General features: G+C 35.7%; 1 protein-coding gene across 11 annotated transcripts in view; it reads left to right on the top strand.

The window, feature by feature from the left end:
* Window positions 1-18,268, top strand: part of RFC3 (replication factor C subunit 3) — a 159,229-nt gene that overhangs the window by 70,978 nt on the left and 69,983 nt on the right. For 2 of the 11 annotated variants that reach the window (XR_007063695.1, XM_017020680.3), the window contains exon 9: window positions 1-18,268. This exon is cut by the window's right edge. The exons of 6 other annotated variants lie outside the window; for them this stretch is intronic. Coding sequence is in view for 4 of the 5 variants with exons in the window: in XM_017020680.3 (XP_016876169.1) it covers window positions 1-63 (63 nt within the window). In the remaining variant the exon portion in view is untranslated. 3 more of the 11 variants (XM_047430491.1, XM_047430490.1, XM_047430489.1) reach the window with 2 other exon arrangements.

Raw genomic sequence — 18,268 nt, forward strand, 5'->3', positions numbered from 1 at the left:
CTGAAAGACGAGACTGGACTTAGCATGATAACCCAAAGCTTCATTGATCCAACACATCACTGAACAATGCAGTTATGTTCACTACACTATTCTTGGTAAGGCAAGAAATAATATACAGATATTTTGAGGAACATTTAGAAATCATAAGCGTTGAACCAACAGGGCTGGGCTAGTTTTTAACCTTTAGTAAGATTTTTTAGCTCCATAACTCCACAGGCTGGTTGATAATTAAAAAATTTGCCAATTGAAAATTTAGTAAACAAATACCCTTTTTAAAAATTTATTTTTAACATTCTCTTTATAGTTGACACATAATAATTGTACATGTTTAGAGGGTAGTGTGATGTGTAAATGCATGTATGCATTGTATAATGATCAAATCAGGGTAGTTGGCATTTTTACCACCTCAAACCTTTATTACTTCTTTGTGCTAATGACTTTCAAAATCCTCTTTTCTAGCTATCTTGAAATATGCACAAATTGTTATTAGCTATAATCACCATACTATGTAATAGAGCACCAGAAATTTTTCTTCCTTGCTGACTATAACTTTGCAACCATTGACCACCCTCTCCTCCTATCCCAGGCTTCCTCCAATCCCCAGCCTCTGGTAACCACTATTCTACTCTCTACTGCTATGACAGCAACCTTTTTAGATGCCACATATGAATGAAACCATGCAGTATTTGTCTGCCTGTGCCTGGTTTATTTAAAATGCAGTATATATACACAATATAATATTACTAAGCTATAAAGAAGGATAACATCCTGTCATTTGTGTCAACATGGATGAAGCTGGAGAACAAAGACATTTTGTTAGCCTACTATGGATTAGATTCTTTTTCTGAGTGCTAGGGATATACTGGTGGTCAATAGGTTCAACGGTCCTGACTTCATGGACCCTATATATTTTATATATGTATCTGTTAGTACGTTGGTGATGATGGAGATAATGACTCTTTATGATCAGGAGCAGCCTTACGACCTCCTGTTAAAGTCTCCGAGGGTGTTGAGGTTCAGTATGTAAACTGTGTGGGGTGGGTAGGGTCCCAGCTTTGACTTGAGGCCTGCATAACCCTTGGTAATGTGTCACCTCAATAGAACTATTGTGTAGCAAATGATGTTAATTTATGAGTTCAGTCATTTGGCCAGAGCCTACACCAATTTTCCATTTGTGCTGATGATCTAAATTTGGTTCCATCCATGCCCAGAAGCAATATCAGAGCTCATGTATGTGCCATTACTACCCTATATGGGTAGTTCTGCCTTATCTGATAATAGCAATGTTAATCTGACTTCATTAGACTAGAAGGGATTATATCCTAGATACCTCACAATGGTGATTTGGATGCCATCGTATTGACCCAGTGTGATGAAATGAGCAATCGTATTGACCCAGTGTGATGAAATGAGCAAAATAATTGCCCTAAAATGGTTTAGCAGTTTCCCACCTCTCTTCGGAAAATCTATGAATCTTTGGACCCTCATGTTTATTTATCATTTACTATGTTTGTGTCAGGCATTGTCCTGAGCTTAATTACATCATCCCCTTTAAGCTTACTACAAACTCTTAAGATAGGTAATCTTATTGATGATGAAACTGAGATGGTTTCACCATCTTATTGATGATGAACATTGGCTCCAAGAGCTTAGGTTACTTGTCCAAGGTCACACAGCTTGTAGGTGGGCCAGCTGAGATTCAAACTAGGCCAATGGGATTCCTTAATCCATTCCTATTCCTTTTATACCATGCTTTCTTCTAGATATATCAATATGTAAAATTAACCTAATTTTTAAAACATGCAAATGTCATAGCTAGGAGACAGAATATTATTGGGTATCAATCACATACCTCATGAAATAACATAAACTTTGTGTTACATATAATTTAATTCACTTACAAGGTGAAAAAGGTTATAATTTCCAATAATTTTTATCTTTTTAGTCCTTCTAGGTCATCACTACTTAAAATAACTGAAGACTCCACCACGTTTAGTGGTTGTAAAAAATAAGAAACTAAGCATTTTTACAATCTTGCTTGCTAAGTCTAATATTAAATATACAACTAAGAGTGGCAATGGTATTTTTAAGCATTCATTATGCCCTCAAAATGCTGGCAGAAAATCATAGTAGGAATTCTAATAATAGAAGCAACTCTACCAACCTTGGTTTTAATGCATTCTTTTTATTCATATGCAAGGTTCCCTAAAGGTTTTATCTTGAGGTGTTAACAGGGAAATCTGTCACCAGTAGAGGACTAAATGAAGTCACAAGTCATATAACAAGCAGAGCAGACAAGTAACCTTCACATGGATGCTTAAGAAAATACTGGCAGAAACCCTGATACAATAAATTTGCAAATAACTTGAAGACAAAAAGGTACTTAGTGGATAATGACTAATGTGTCCTACTTAAAATCAAATCCTTTTAAGCTAATCTAATATGGTAGATCAAGGAGAAATGATAGATGTATTTTATCTTAATTGCATCAAATCTTGATTATCTGCATATTACACCCATCAATGAACAACAACAAAAAAAGTGACCTAAGCACACAGCCAACTGGATTATAACAACTATATAATATCAAACATGTGGATGAAAATACCAGATGCTCTACTTCTACAATGTCAAATATATATGTATAGACACATAACACATATAATCACATAAATACATCAAGAATATATATATATTTGCATCATATAAATGTGCTTAAAGTCCTATGTCCCATATATTAAGAATAAGAATAGTTGTGAAAACTTTCAGAGGAATGCAAGGAAAATTAACGAGACATCAGAAAATAATTTCTAGGCACAGAAGTTAAATATAGCAGGACAATTCAACCAGGAAAAAAAACAGATTAGATATAATTTAATAACATTATTCAACTGTCTCTACATAATACCAAAATAACCAAACAATTTGGTCAGATAACTATCCAAGCAAGTCAAATGAATATTTTAAAAATCCAATAACTCCATCATCATAACAGTTCATATGCTGTAAATGTATTGATTTAGCTTTGAGAGATAGCTGAGACATCTGAAATACAGAAATTTGCTGTTCCTTAGGGAGTGTTGCCTTGAATGAAGCAGGTAAGCTAAGCTTAACTAAGACAAAAATTAGAGGAAAGTTGAAGAAAGGATCCAAGAGAGAACATCAAAGGCAGAGCTCCAGGAGCCAGAATAAGGGATGTGGGTCCCTCATATGTTAATAGAAGGTTTCATCCAACTGAAACTGGAGGGCCTTAAGACTTAAAGAAAGGCAGCCTCAGCCTGAAAACATCTTATATCCTTTCTGCTCCAAATAAAACTGTAAGCATTCCAAAGCTGGGTATTGGTGCCGTCTCATTTCTGTTTCCCTACTTCATTCTATCTCTATTTTCTTTTTGATATCCCCATCAGTCTTTCCACTTAAGATTTGTTACCTCACCTTATCCAAACATCTGAGCCTATAATTCTCAAGTTAGTGTTTTTGTGTCTCCCAACTCCCAGCCATTACCACCAATCACACTTTCACTTATGAACATTTTTTCTTTACTGTCAAACCTCAGGCAGTTCCAAAATAGCAGTGTAGAAGCAAGATGACCTCACTCCCCCAGACAAAAACCAAAAACAAATAGACAGCACCAAGATTATCACCAGCAATATCTCAGAGCTCAAGTACAAAAAGGAGACAGTCCCTGGGGCCACAGAGAAATGAAAAATCTCTGAGAAGGCTGTAAGGTAATTGAATTTCTATATTGGTAATGCCCCTTCTGTCCAGCACCAAGTGCACAAAGTATTTCCCTCCATTCACAATTTCTACACTCAAAAAAGTGAGATCAAGGTGGACAAGCAGGTTTTCCACCATCTTGGGAGCCTTGGCAGGAGAACTGTCCCTGCCTTAACTCATGGAAAGCATTTCAAATGCCAGAAGGGACAATATCACTGAGGACAGGCCGAGAGAAGGGAAGGAGGTGGAACTACCATCCCCAGCCCTGGAAACTCTGATCTGTAACTTGAAAAAGGGAGATGCCAAATCAGAGTGGTTGTTCAGCAGCACCACACCATTGGAAGTACATTCCACAGGACCCCTGGGCATGAACCCTTAGCCAGCCTTCCCACACTGCCAGGATATCCCCTTTGGAACCCCCTCTTGGGACAGGTAGCACCCCAATTATTTACTAGAACCTAGGTGAACCTTGGATTAAGGAATCACCAAGAGCCAAAAAGGAGGCAACAACCTAGCACTGAAGAATCTCTCAGAAAATATATCTAATAAAACCAAAAATATCTAGACAAAGAAGACTGAAATAAATAACTAACTCTTTAATACAAAGACATACACATACATTCACAAGAAAAAAACAAAACAAAACAGCAAGCAGGGTACTATGACCTCTTCAATAGACAGAATAAGGAACCAGTGCCTGACCTCAATGAGAAGGCAATATGTGAGCTCTCTGACCAAGAATTCAAAATAGCAGTTGTAAGGAAACTCAGCAATCTCCAAGATAACACAGAAAATCAATGCAGAAATTTATCAGACTAATTTTATGAAGACTGAAATAATAATAATAAAAAAGAAACAAAAATTTTGGAACTGAGAAATACATTTGCTGAATTGAAAAATTTATTAGAGGCTCTCAACAGCAGAATGGATCAAGCAGAAGAAAGAATCAGTCACCTCAAAGACAGATTATTTGAAAATATGGTTAGGAGAGAAAAAAGAAAAAAGAATGAAGACCATCTACAGGATATAGAAAATGACATCAAATGACCAAATCTAAGAAATACTGCTATTCAAGAGGGAGTTCAGCAAGAGCAAGGAGTAGAAAGGTTATTGAAAGGAAAAAAACAAACAAACAAACAAAAAACCCCAACTTTCCAAAGGGCCAAGATGGCAGCTTGGAGGCATTGCTAGTATGTCTCTTCCACTTGGAAAGACAAAAGTGTGTAGAAATTCACACTGTGAACTTTTTCCAATAAGCAACACAGGAACAAACCACAGACCCTTTGAAAGAAGCAGAACCCTACACAATGAGCCAGGTGAAAAACTGTAAGTCCCCAGAGTGTGAGAGGGGGATAAGCTGCCTCTGGGATATAGACCTCCACTGGGTAGCCTGGCAATCCAGGATATGGGGGAGGGCCATAACCCTACCCAGTACTGGAGCTGATTTAGTGAGTGGTGGGGAGTATATGAGAAGGAGTGGCATCAGGATGTGCTTTGCATGCACTTCCAGTTTCCAGTGGGAATGGAGGGAAGTCGTTCCTGATCTTACCTCACAGGAGACCTCGTGGAAGTCTGCCAGCTAACTCAAGTGACAGTCATAGGTTGAGAGAAGCTTCCAACTGTGATTCATGATATAATCTCGAGTGGGGACAAACCCTTGGCCAGAACTGAGGGGCAAGTGGGAAGTGTGCTTCAGCCAAGGGTACAGGAGCTGGATATCCCACCTTTGTTGGCTGACTGGGAGGAGTGTGGCCTAAAAGCTCCAGTTGCTGTCACCACTAGGAAGGCTTATGGCCTGGGGCAATTTTGGGTTCTGAGCGCAGATTGTCTGGAACCTAGCTAGCTGTTGCTAGTGGAACACTGCAGGTGTTCCTGGATAATCTGGGGGTATCACATTGCCCAACTTCAAATTATATTACAAGGTGAGAATAATCAAAACAGCATGTTACTGCTATAAAAATGAGACATAGACCAATGGAATAGAATAGAGAACCAAGAAATAAAGCCAAATACTTACAACCAACTGATCTTTGACAAAGTATTAAAAAAACATAAATGGGGGAAAGGACACCTATTCAATGAATGGTGAGAACACTGGATAATTCACACGTAGAAGAATGAACTGGACACCTATCTCTCATCGTATACAAAAATCAACTCATGATGGATCAAGGATTTAAATGTAAGACCTGAAACCATAAAAATTCTAGAAGAAAACCTAGGAAAAACACTTCTGGGGCATTGGCCTAGGCAAATGATTCATGATTAGAACCCCAAAAGCCAATGCAACACAAACAAAAATAATGGGACCTAATTAAACTACAAAGCTTCTGCCCAGTAAAATAAATAATCATCAAAGTAAACAGACAACCCACAGAGTGGGAGAAAACACTTACAAAGTATATATCTGACACAGGACTAATATCCAAAATCTATAAGAAACTCAAATCAGCAAAACAAATAATCCCATCAAAAAGTGGTCAGAGTACATGATAGACATTTCTCAAAAGAAGATGTACAAATGGCCAAAAAACATATAAAAATGCTCAACGTCACTAATCATCAGGAATATGGCATATTAAAACCAAAGTGGGATACCACCTTACTCCAGCTAGAATGGCCATTATTAGAAAGTCAAAAAACAATAGATGTTGGCATGGATGTGGTAAAAAGGGAACGCTTATACACTGCTAGTGGGAATGTAAATTAGTGTAACCTCTATGGAAAACAGTGTGGATATTTCTTAAAGGTCTGGATATTTCTCTATTTCTAAAAGTAGATCTACCATTTGATCCAGGAATTCCACTTCTTGATATCTATACACAGGGAAAAAGTCGTTATATCATAAAGACAGCTGCACACATATGTTTACTTCAGCACAATTCATAATTGCAAAGACATGGAACCAACCTAAGTGCCCACCAACCAAAGAGTGGATAATGAAAATGTGGTATATGCACACCATAGAATACTACACAGCCATAAAAACGAACAAAAAATAATGTCTTTTGCAGCAACTTGGATGGAGCTGGGGGCCATTATTCTAAGTGAAGTAACTCAGGAATGGAAAACCAAATACCATATAATCTCACTTATAATTTGGAACTAACCTATGGGTATGCAAAGGCATACACAGTGGTATAATGGACTTTGGAGACTCAGAATGGGGGAGAGTGGGAGTGAAAGGAATAAAAAGCTACATATTGGGTACAAGGTACACTACTCAGGTGACAGGTTCACTTTAATCTCTAACTTCGCCACTGTACAATTTGTTTGCATAACAAAAAAACCACTTGTACCCCAAAAGCTATTGAAACAAAGAAATATATATATATGTATATATATAATTTTAAAAAAGGATTGATTGCAAAAGTTTCTATTCTAATATAAAAAGAAAGTATAAAATAGTTTAAACCAAAACAAAAAGAAAACTTTCCAAATCTTCAAATAGATGTAAATATACAGGTATAAGAACATCAGAGAACACCAAATAGTTTCAACCCAAGTAAGATTATCCCCAGGGCATATAATAGTTAAACTCTCAATGTTCAAAGGCAAAGAGAGGATAGTAAAAGCAGCAAAAGAAAATAAGTAATTTGGTCAGGTTTGGTGGCTCATGCCTGTAATCCTGGCACTTTGGGAGGCCAAGAAGGGTGGATCACTTGAAGTCAGGAATTTGAGACCAGCCTGGCCAACATGGTGAAACCCTGATTCTGCTAAAAATACAAAAAGTAGCTAGGAGTGGTGGTCCCCAGTTACTTGGGAGGCTGAGGCATGAAAATCACCTGAACTCAGGAGGCAGAGGTTGCAGTGAGCTGAGATTGCACTGCTGCACTCCAGCCTGGGCAACAGAGTAAGACTTTGTCTCAAAAAAAAAAAAAAAAAAAAAAAAAAAAAAAAGCAAGTAACATATAAAGAGGCTCTATCCTCTTTTTGTCTAGCAACAGATTTCTCAATGGAAACTATATAGGCCAACAGGGAGTGAAACTGCATTTTTAAAGTGCTGAATGAAAAAAACCTCTCATCCAAAAATACTGTATCTAGCAAAGCTATCCTTCAAATATGCAAGAGAGATAAAATCTTATTGAGACAAAAGCTGGGAGAATTCACCACTAGTAGAACTATCTTAAAAGAAATTATAAGGGAGTTCTTCAACCTGAAAGAAAACAAAAAAATTAATGTACAAAAAGAAAAGGAAAACAAAAATAAAATTTGAAGATATAAAACCCATGGGTAAAATTAAGTACATGTAAAAATCCAGAATACTCTAATACTGTAACTATAGTGTGCAATCCATTTATAACTCTAGTTTGAAACTCCAAAGACAAATATATCAAAAACAATAATAGCTATAACAACCAGTTAAGAGATAGACAATATAAAAATATGTAAATTGGGACAAGAGTCAAAATGTGGGGGAATGAAGTTACATTGTAGATTTTTTTTTGTTTCTATTCTTTGTTTCTATTTTTTGTGTGATCTAAGATAAGTCATCAACTCTTTAAAAATAACTTGTTACATATATGAAATTTTTTTGATAAGCCTCATGGTACTCATAACATAAAAACCTATAATAGAGTCACTAAAAATAAATAGCAATGAATTAAAACATACTGCCAGGGAAAAAATTACTTAACCATAAAGGAAAAGAGTAAGAAAAAAAGAAAGGAGTTAGAAAACAACCAGAAAATAAGCAATAAAATGGCAGTAGTAAGTTCTTACTTATCAATATTAACACTTAATGTAAATAGAATGAATTCTCCAATTAAAAGGCATAGAGTGGCAGAAGGGATAAAACAAGACCCAACTGTATGCTGCCTTCAAAAAAGTCACTTCATCTGTAAAGGCACACATAGACTGAAAGTGAAGGAATGGAAGAAGATATTCCAGGCAACTGGAAACCAAAAAAAGGCAGAAGTATCTATAATATATCAGATAAATAGACTACAAATCAAAGACTGTAAAAAGAAGCAAAGGAGTTCACTATATAATGATAAAGGGGTCAAATCACCAAGAAAATACAACAATTATAAATATCTATGTACCCATCACCAGAGCTCCCAAGTATATATAAAAACATTAACAATTGCCTGTATCAAAATATCTTATGTACCCCATAAATATACATACCTACTATGTACTCATAAACATTAAAACTTTAAAAAAACACTAACAGATCTAAAGGGAGAAATAGACTGTGATACAATAGAAGTAGGGGACTTTAACACCCCACTGTAATAATGGGCAGATCATTCAGACAAAACGTTTTTAAAAACTCAACCATCAGAGTTTAACTACACACTAAACCTAATAGGCCTAACTGATATTTACAAAACGTTTCACCCAACGGCTGCAGAATACACATCTTATTCATCAGCACATAAAATATTCTCTGGAATAAACCATATCTTTAACCATTAAATAAGCCTCAACAAATCCAAAAAAGTAGAAACCATTTCAATCTTTTCAGATCACAATGGAATAAAACAAGAAATCAATTAACAAGAGGAATTTTGGAAACTACACAAACATGTGTACATTAAACAACATGCTCCTGAACAACCAATGGCTCAATAAAGAAATTAAGAAGGAAATTTAAAAATTTATTGAAACAAATGCAAATGGAAATAAAACATACCAAAATCTATGGGATACCGAAAAAGCAGTGTTAAGAGGAAAGTTTATAGCAATTTATACCTATATCAATAAAGTAGAAAGACTTTAAATAAACAACTTAATGATGTACCTCAATGTACTAGGGAGGTAGAACAAATCAAATCTGAAATTAGTAGATGAAAAGAAATTATAAAGATTACAGGAGAAATAAATGAAGTTGGGACTAAAAAAATAACAAAAAATCAACAAAACAAAAAGTTGGTTTTTTGAACAATGGAATCAGCGAAACTTTAGCTATACTAAGAAAAAAGAGAGAAAATCCAGGTAAATAAAATCAGAAATGAAAAAGGAGTCATAAAAACTGAGACCTCAGAAATACACAAAATCCTTAGAGACTGTTATGCTATTATGAGCAACTGTAGGCCAACAAATTGGAAAAGCCGGAAGAAATAAATAAATTCCTGAACACATACAACCTGCCAAGATTGAACCATGAAGAAATTAAAAACCTCCACAAACCAATAACAAGTAATGAGATCAAAGCTGTAATAAAAAGTCTCCCATCAAATAAAAGTATATGACCTCATGGCTTCACTGCTGGATTCTACCAAACATTTAAAGAAGAACTAACACCAATTCTACTCAAACTAAACTCTTCAAAAAAATTGAAGAGGAGAAAATACTTTAAACTCCTATGGAGCCAGCATTACCCTGATAACAAAACCAGACGAAGACACAATAAGACAAAAAAAAAAAAAAAAAAAAAAAAAGAACAAAATTACAGGCCAATATCCCTGATGAACATAGAGGCAAAAAAATTCTCAACAAAATACGAGCAAACTGAATTCAGCAATACATTAATAAGATCATTCACCATGATCAAGTGGGATTCATCCCAGGAATGCAAGGATGGTTCAACATACGCAAATCAGTAAATGTGATACATCATATCAACAGACAAAGATTTAAAAAATATAATTATTTCAATAGATGCTAAAAACGCATTTGATAAAATTCAACATCCTTTTACAATAAAAAGCCTCATCAAACTAGATAAAGAAGAAACAAACCTCAAAGTAATAAAGCCTGTATATGACAAACCCACAGATAACATTTTACTGAATGCAAAAAATTGAAGGCTTTTCCTTTAAGATCTGCAAAAAGACAAGGATGCCCACTTTCACCACTTTTATTTAACATAATGCTAGAAGTCCTGGCTAGATCAATTAGACAAGAGAAAAAAATAAAGAGCATCCTAATTGGGAAAAAGAAGTTAAATTAGCCTTGTTCACAGATGACATGACCTTATACTTAGAAAAACCTAAAGACTTCACCAAAAACTGTTAGAACTGATAAATAAATTCAGTAAAGTTGCAGGATACAAAACCAACATACATAAATTAGTAGCATTTATATATGCCAATGGCAAACAATCTGAAAAATAAGTCAAGAAAGAAATCCCATTTACAATAGCTACAAAGAATATAAAACACCTAGGAATCAATTTAATTGAATAAGTGAAAGATCTATACAAGAAAACCTGTAAAACAGTGATAAAAGAAATGGAAGAGAACACAAAAAATGAAAGCACATTCCATGTTCATGGGTTGAAAGAATTAATCTTGTTAAAATGACAATACTACTCAAAGAAATGTACAGAATCAATGCAATCCCTATCAAAACGCCAATGACATTCTTCACAGAAATACAAAAAGCAATTATAAAATGTATATGAAACCACAAAAGACTCTGAACAGCTAAAGCAATCCCGAGAAAAAAGAACAAAGCGGGAGGCATTACACTACTTGACTTCAAAATTTACTACAAACCTATAGTAACCAAATCAGCATGGTACTGGCATGAAAACAGACACATAGACCAATGGAACAGAGTAGAGAGCCCAGACATAAATACATGCATTTATAGCCAACTAGTCTTTGACAAAGTTTCCAAGAATGTACAATGGAAAAAAGGATAGTCTCTTCAATAAATGGTGCTGAAAAACCTGGTTAACTATCTGCAGAAGAATGAAACTAGATTCCTATCTCTGTCTATCACCATATAGAAAAAAAAACGTATTAAGACCTGTATTAAATCTAAGGCCTGAAATTATGAAATTAGTAGAAGAAAACTCTGGGGAAACACTCTAAGACATTGATCTGGGCAAAGATTGTTTGTGTAAGACTTCGAAAGCACAGGCAACCAAAGCAAAAAAAGGACAAATGGGATTACATCAAGTTAAAAAGCTTCTGCACAACAAAAGAAACAATCAACAAAGAGACAACCCACAGAATGGGAGAAAATATTTGAAAACTATACATCTGACAAGGTATTAATAACCAGAATATAGAAGAAGCTAAAACAACTGAATAGCAAAAAAAAAAAAAATAATAAATATAATAATCCAATTGAAAATGGACAAAAAATGTGATTAGACTTGTCTCAGAAGAAGACTTTCAAATGGTCAACAGGTATATGAAAAAATGCTCAACATCACTAATCATCGAAGAAATGCAAATCAAAATCACAATGAGACATTATCTCACTTCAATTAAAATGAATTTTATCAAAAAGACAATAATGGATGCTGGTGAGGATGTGGAGAGAGGGGGACCCCTTATACGCTGCCGGTGGAAATGTAAATTAGTACAGCCACTGTAGAAAACAATATGGAAATTCGTCACAAAAATAAAATAGAACTACTATATGATATAGGAATTCAACTACTGGGTATGTATCCACAAGAAAGTAAATCAACATTTTGAGGAAATGTCTGCATTCTCATGTTTATTGCAACCCTATTTACAATAACCAAAAATGGAATCAACCTAAGTGCCCATCAATGGATGAATGGATAAAAAAATGTGGTATATATACACAATGAAATATTATTCAGCCATAAAAAAATAAAATCTTGCCATTTTCAGCAACATGGATAGAACTGGAGGTCATTATTTTAAATGAGATAAGCCAAGCACAGAAAGACAAATATTACATGTTCTCACTCATATATATCAGCTAAAAATGTGGGTATCATGGAGATAGAGAGTAGACTGGCAGTTACCAGAGGCTGGGAAGGGTAGAGAGGAAGGAAGGATGAAGAGAAGTTAATTAATTGGTACAAATATATGACCTGATAGAAAAAATAAGACCTAGTGTTTGATAGATCAGTAGGGTGACTATAGTTTATAATAATCTATTTTACGTTTCACGTGAGCTATAAGGGAATAATTCAAATGTTTCTAGCATTAAGAAAAGTATTTAAGGTGATGGTTATCCCATGTACATTGATTTGATCTTTACATGAAAGTATTAAATTATCATATGTACCCCAAACTATGTATTAATATATCTTTTATGCATAAATAAAAACACATAAAAATAAACAAGAAACAAAAAAACAAAATCTCATGATCAGACTCTTTGCAGCTTCTAAAATGTGATAAATTAATTCATTTAAAGCTGCTTAGTGGAAAAAAGCATGATGATTTCTAGAAGAGAAATATCCACTTCCACCCTAGACCCTGACCCCTGCCCTGCTATGGGTACATTTTTAAAATTACTATTCTGCCATCCCACACATAAGGCAAAAGCTGTGATGGTGGAATAACACTGATGACGGAATATCAGTTCAGGTTAAAAAAATGGTGAATATATGGGCAGGAGACAGGGTGACGTGGGTGAAGAAATATGGAGAATATATTTGGAGGCTGATGGAATATGGTGAGATTCATAGGTCCTATTATAATTAGTCTTCTTGTTTGTTCAAGCATAACGCTGACCCTATCTGAAGCCAGTGTGGTTCTATCAGAAGCAAGTGTCTGCCTGCCATAGTTTGAGAATCAGCAATTTGAAAAGGCAGGATGAATGTAGGTGGAGAAACATGGGGCTGTCTTTGCAGGTGACATACTATGGGATTCTCAGGTCTCATAAGGATTAGCATCTGAAGGACCATGTGAAATAACTAGTGGATCATTGTCCATGTCACTTATTAATTATATGGAAATCAGTGGTAAAAAAGGATTTGCATCTGGCAGTAAAGCCTATTGATAATTGTTCCGTATTTTATTCAAAAGCATTTAATGATTATAGTTTAATAATATTATACTGTGTATATCAGATAGTTTAGTTGCATATAATGTTAAGCCTATCAGTTATACTTCCCAAGTTTACCCCTTATTCATTTACTCTTCTTAATTGCTGTTGACACTCTTCCCCGTCCAAGCCAACATTATTTTTCATCTGAAAGGCTATAGTAGCCCCTCTATGTCTACTTTTGTGAACTGACAGTCCGTTATCCACAGAACCACCAGAGGAAGTTTTAAAAGAGGTAAATTAGATCCTGTCATTCCCTTGCTCCAGGGGTGTCCAGTGTTTTGGCTCCCCTGGTCCACATTGGAAGAAAAGAATTGTCTTGGGCCACACTTAAAATACCCTAACGATAGCTGATGAGCTAAAAAAAAAAAAATTGCAAAAAGATCCCGTAATGTTTTAAGAAAATTTATGAATTTGTCTTAGGCTGCATTCAAAGCCATCCTGGGCCGCATGTGGCCTGTGCGCCACCAGTTGGACAAGCTTGCAACCTTACTATAACTCCCTTTTCCACCAAGAATAAAATCCAGATTCCTTTCTGTAGCCTGAAAGGCTCCACACAATCCAACCCCTGCCAAGCTCTTGACCAAATCCCGGTTACTCTCTCTCCATCTTGCTCAGCCTACTACAGAGAAAGTTCTCTGTCACTTTCTCAGGTCTAGGCAATCAGAGAAATAGATCAAACACTGATTTGTAGCATTTGCAATTTCTGTGGTATAAATACTCCTAGATAGCAACATGATGTCACTGAAGGTGAATTTGGGTAGAAATGTGCAGTCACACTCCATTATAAGTATTTCCACCATACAGAAACAGTAGGTGTAAAAAAAATCTCAGAAGCATAGGTCATAGTACAATGTAATATAACTCGTGATAAGTTTTGAGTGTGTATTACCTTTTGTTTTAAGTGAAATGTATTTACTTGTAAGTTTATGTAACTTATTTTAAAATAACATCTGTGTTTCATACCTAGCTCATGAAACTCCTGAACATTTTACAATAGGTTTCACAAGTGGGCTCCAGCAACCACTCTATGTACCCCAGATGTCCTCAATATTTTTCCCTGGATTCACATATTTATGCATAACCAAGAAAATGCCTCTATGTTTTGTCCCATGAGATTTAGCCCAGACCTTTCCTGCAGTTGTATTACTTTCCCTGGAGCCTTATTAGTTAGGTTTATTTCATTATGTCACCTTTCTCTTATGGGAAATGGTTTGGGGTCTGAAGTCCCTTTGTTTGGCCCCTGTGCTCTCTTTCCTTGGTGATAACTCTGATGCTAATTGGTTATCTTCCAAGACTGAAACAGAAACTCAGTATCTCATTTTGTCTTCCAATTATGCACCTGTGTCCAAAATTATGCAAAGAAATAGGTATCTATTTCCTGCTGTGTCTTGTAAACATCATGTTTATTACACTAACATCGTTTTCTTCCCTGAATTTATGTGTGCATGCCCACAAGGCTGTTTCAGTACCAGCTTCTTTTATATCCCTTTGTTTAAAATACTTATTTCTGAAATGCTATCTGAATTTGAACATACTAAAATTGTTTATGGTCAATTTTAACTCTTATTTATTTGCTGTACCTTAGGGACTTTGTCTTTCTCATAACTGTATGCCCAGCCTCTAGTACATTTCCTGGCATGTGGTAGACACTTAGAAAATATTGACTAAATGGATGACTGCATCTTCTTCCATGCCCAAAACTATATAGTTTCTAAAAAATCAGTTGTTCTGCCTGACTTTCCTGTTTTTTTCTTCCTAATGGCACCACTCGTTTTTTGATTGCCAAAGCTCAAACCCTGAGTTTTCTTATGAGCATCTTTCTTTCACTCCCAGTTGTCACCAGTCTTGGTAGTGTCCCAACATGTGTTCTCCCTTGGCCCCTGTAAATTCTTTTTAACTCTGCCACTGGCCCATCTCAGAGCCTTATCATCATTCACTAGGCTACTGTTAACTCTCTTCTAATTAGTTTTCCTACCTCCAGTCTTTCTTCACATTAATCCATCTTCCTGGTGTCAGAGGAACCCTCCCGAAGCAAGGCCAGATCATGTCACATCCTTTAAAATGGACCAGATGGCTCTGAAAGCGTCAGGATAGAGTCCAGATTCCCTCACGTGCCATTCAGGCCCTTCCACAATCTGGCCTTAATCTGCCTGCCCGCCCTTCTCTCGCCGCAATTTCTTCCACATTTAACATGCCCACGTCTCCCAGGTGACTTCCTCAGAACACCGTTTCCTCAGAAAGTAATGGAGGTTGCACTGAACACATTCCCCATGGCCAAATAAGCTGGGGAGGCAATGCTGGCCTAAACAGCTGGTGAGACTTCTCAGAGCCTAAGTATGTTGAAAAATAAGACCGAACAATATGTTGTTTGGGATACGCATTTAGCAAAACTGTAGAGAAAAACAATGGAATGATAAATACAAAATTGAAGGCAGCAATTATCTTTGGTGGAAAGGAGAGAGCTGTGACCAGAGAGGGATATATCAGTGGCTCCAATGATGTTAGAAATTGTTCTCTATCTTAAGCAAGGTACTGGGTATACGAGTGCATGTTATTTGTTATTATGTTGCTTTTCACATTTTAACATCTCTGAAATCAGGATAGGCCTACAATCACAGATAGCCAGGTGACAATTGTGCTGTAGTTGTCTTTACAACTACAGCACAATGATGTTAGAAATTGTTCTGTATCTTAAGCAAGGTACTGGGTATACGAGTGCATGTTATTTGTTATTATGTTGCTTTTCACATTTTAACATCTCTGAAATCAGGATAGGCCTACAATCACAGATAGCCAGGTGACAATTGTGCTGTAGTTGTCTTTACCTTAAAAACATCATCGCTGATTTCTTTCACTTGTGTTCTCTTTTTTTTTTCTTGCATGCATGAGTGTCATAAGGCAAAAAATCTAAGCCTGAAAGACCTCTTTTGTTAAGTATAAAATAAAAATCTAAATGGCAAGAAAATAATTCATCTATGAGTTTATAACAATATCTACATTCTTGTTTTATGGAAACTATAGGGTCTTCAGGGCTGAAGCAGTTTTCCCACAACCTCTTCCCCTATAATAGTCAATGTTCATGGTACAGATGATTGCTACAATATGAAGCTCAGTGTCTTACACCTAGTAAGTGCACTCTAAATATTATTTATTGGATTTCCAGTGACTATATTAATATTGAACTCAAATGATTCACTAACATTCTTCACCAAATCTGGTCATTTTCAAAAAATAAAAAATAAAAACAACAACAAAACAAACAAACCAAGAACAGTGATTGGAAAGCCCACTTTGATAAATGTCTGACCTGATAAGACAATCCATATCTATGTGCTAATAGGAAGAAGTCTTAAAGGCATATTGATACTACTCTTCTCTGAACTGTTTCTGTGCTTAGTTTTCTATGATGTGCCATGTAGTGAATTTTGTCTTCACAAATTACTTCTGTTTTTAACATAAAAATCATAATATCCTTGAGGGATTGTGGCTTATATTTTAGCACTACTTATAATGCTATGCATACAGTGTTACTTAATCTGTTGTTTGATTAATGATTCTGTTTGTGTAAGTGTCACATTGATCATATCCTCAAAACACAGTTCTTAGGCTGTAATTCAGCTCTGTTCTTATTGCCACAGCATCTTAAAATTCTACCTGTGAATCTAAATTGGAAGTCATTCTGTAGTGTGTGATTCTTATTTATTTGGCTTATAGTAAATCAAGAGAGATTGATTGGTAGTTTAATAAACCGATTTATAAGAAAGTCCCCAGTCATTGTGTCCACTGACCTTCAAGGTAAGAATGTTGGTTTGACCAGTTGTAGGTTCAGTAACATTGGATCCAGCTTTCCGGGAGATACCCAGAATCTCCATATGACTAAATATGGACTTCTAAGATTCATGTAGACACTACCTATTCTGATCATCACTTTCCATGAAGACGCAAGTCTCAAATTATTATTTTAATAGAATCAGCCATCATCTTGCAGTCTGTTTAACTGTTGACTTTTATTTTCATTTGCATATATTCCCTTTTATGAAAGGGCTACTCCTTTTCCTTGGTTCACTTGTGATCTTTATTTTTTTGTTACATGCTTTTCTTGCTGTTGAACAAGGTTTAAATTGGATCACTGATCTAAAATATTCATTTTGAAAATTACTTCACAAAAAATTAAAAGATTAATAGTTAATGCTTTCAACTGTGGTCTGTAGTGAGGGCCAAATGGTATTAAAATTTGTTCTTCCTTGTCATTCTGTTCTAAATAATATCTATTAGGATGATTAGTACCAAAGAAGCGATTTTGCTCTGTTGTCCAGGCTGGAGTGCAGTGAAGTAATCATGGTTCATTGCAGCCTCTGTGTCCCGAGTTCAGGTGGTCTTTCCACCTCAGCCTCCAAAGTAGCTGAGACTACAAATGCATGCTACCATGCGTGGCTAATTTTTAAAAATTTTTTTATAGTGATAGGGTCTCACTATGTTGCCCAGGAGTTCACTGGGCCCGAATGATCCTCTTGCCTCAGCCTCTCAGAATGCTGGGATTACGTACATGAGCCACTGCCACTAGCTGTGATCTGTATTTTTCTGTTGCTCACATACCACTGTAGTGCTAACCATTTACTGAGTTCTAGTTCTAATCATTTGTGGGGTAGAGACTTTGGGTAATATGTTCTATTCCTAAACCCTTGCTTTTGGATTGTGAAAATGGAAGACTATTTAGAAGTGGAAACAATTGAGTTGCAATCTTTATACACCTAAACCAGGACCAGAAATCCTGGATTGCTGTGTTTGCCATTTGTTCTTAAAAATAATAAATCCTAGAACATATTTTATTACCCCA

Source organism: Homo sapiens, chromosome 13 (genome assembly GCF_000001405.40).
Source record: "Homo sapiens chromosome 13, GRCh38.p14 Primary Assembly".
Taxonomy (NCBI): Eukaryota; Metazoa; Chordata; class Mammalia; order Primates; family Hominidae; genus Homo; species Homo sapiens.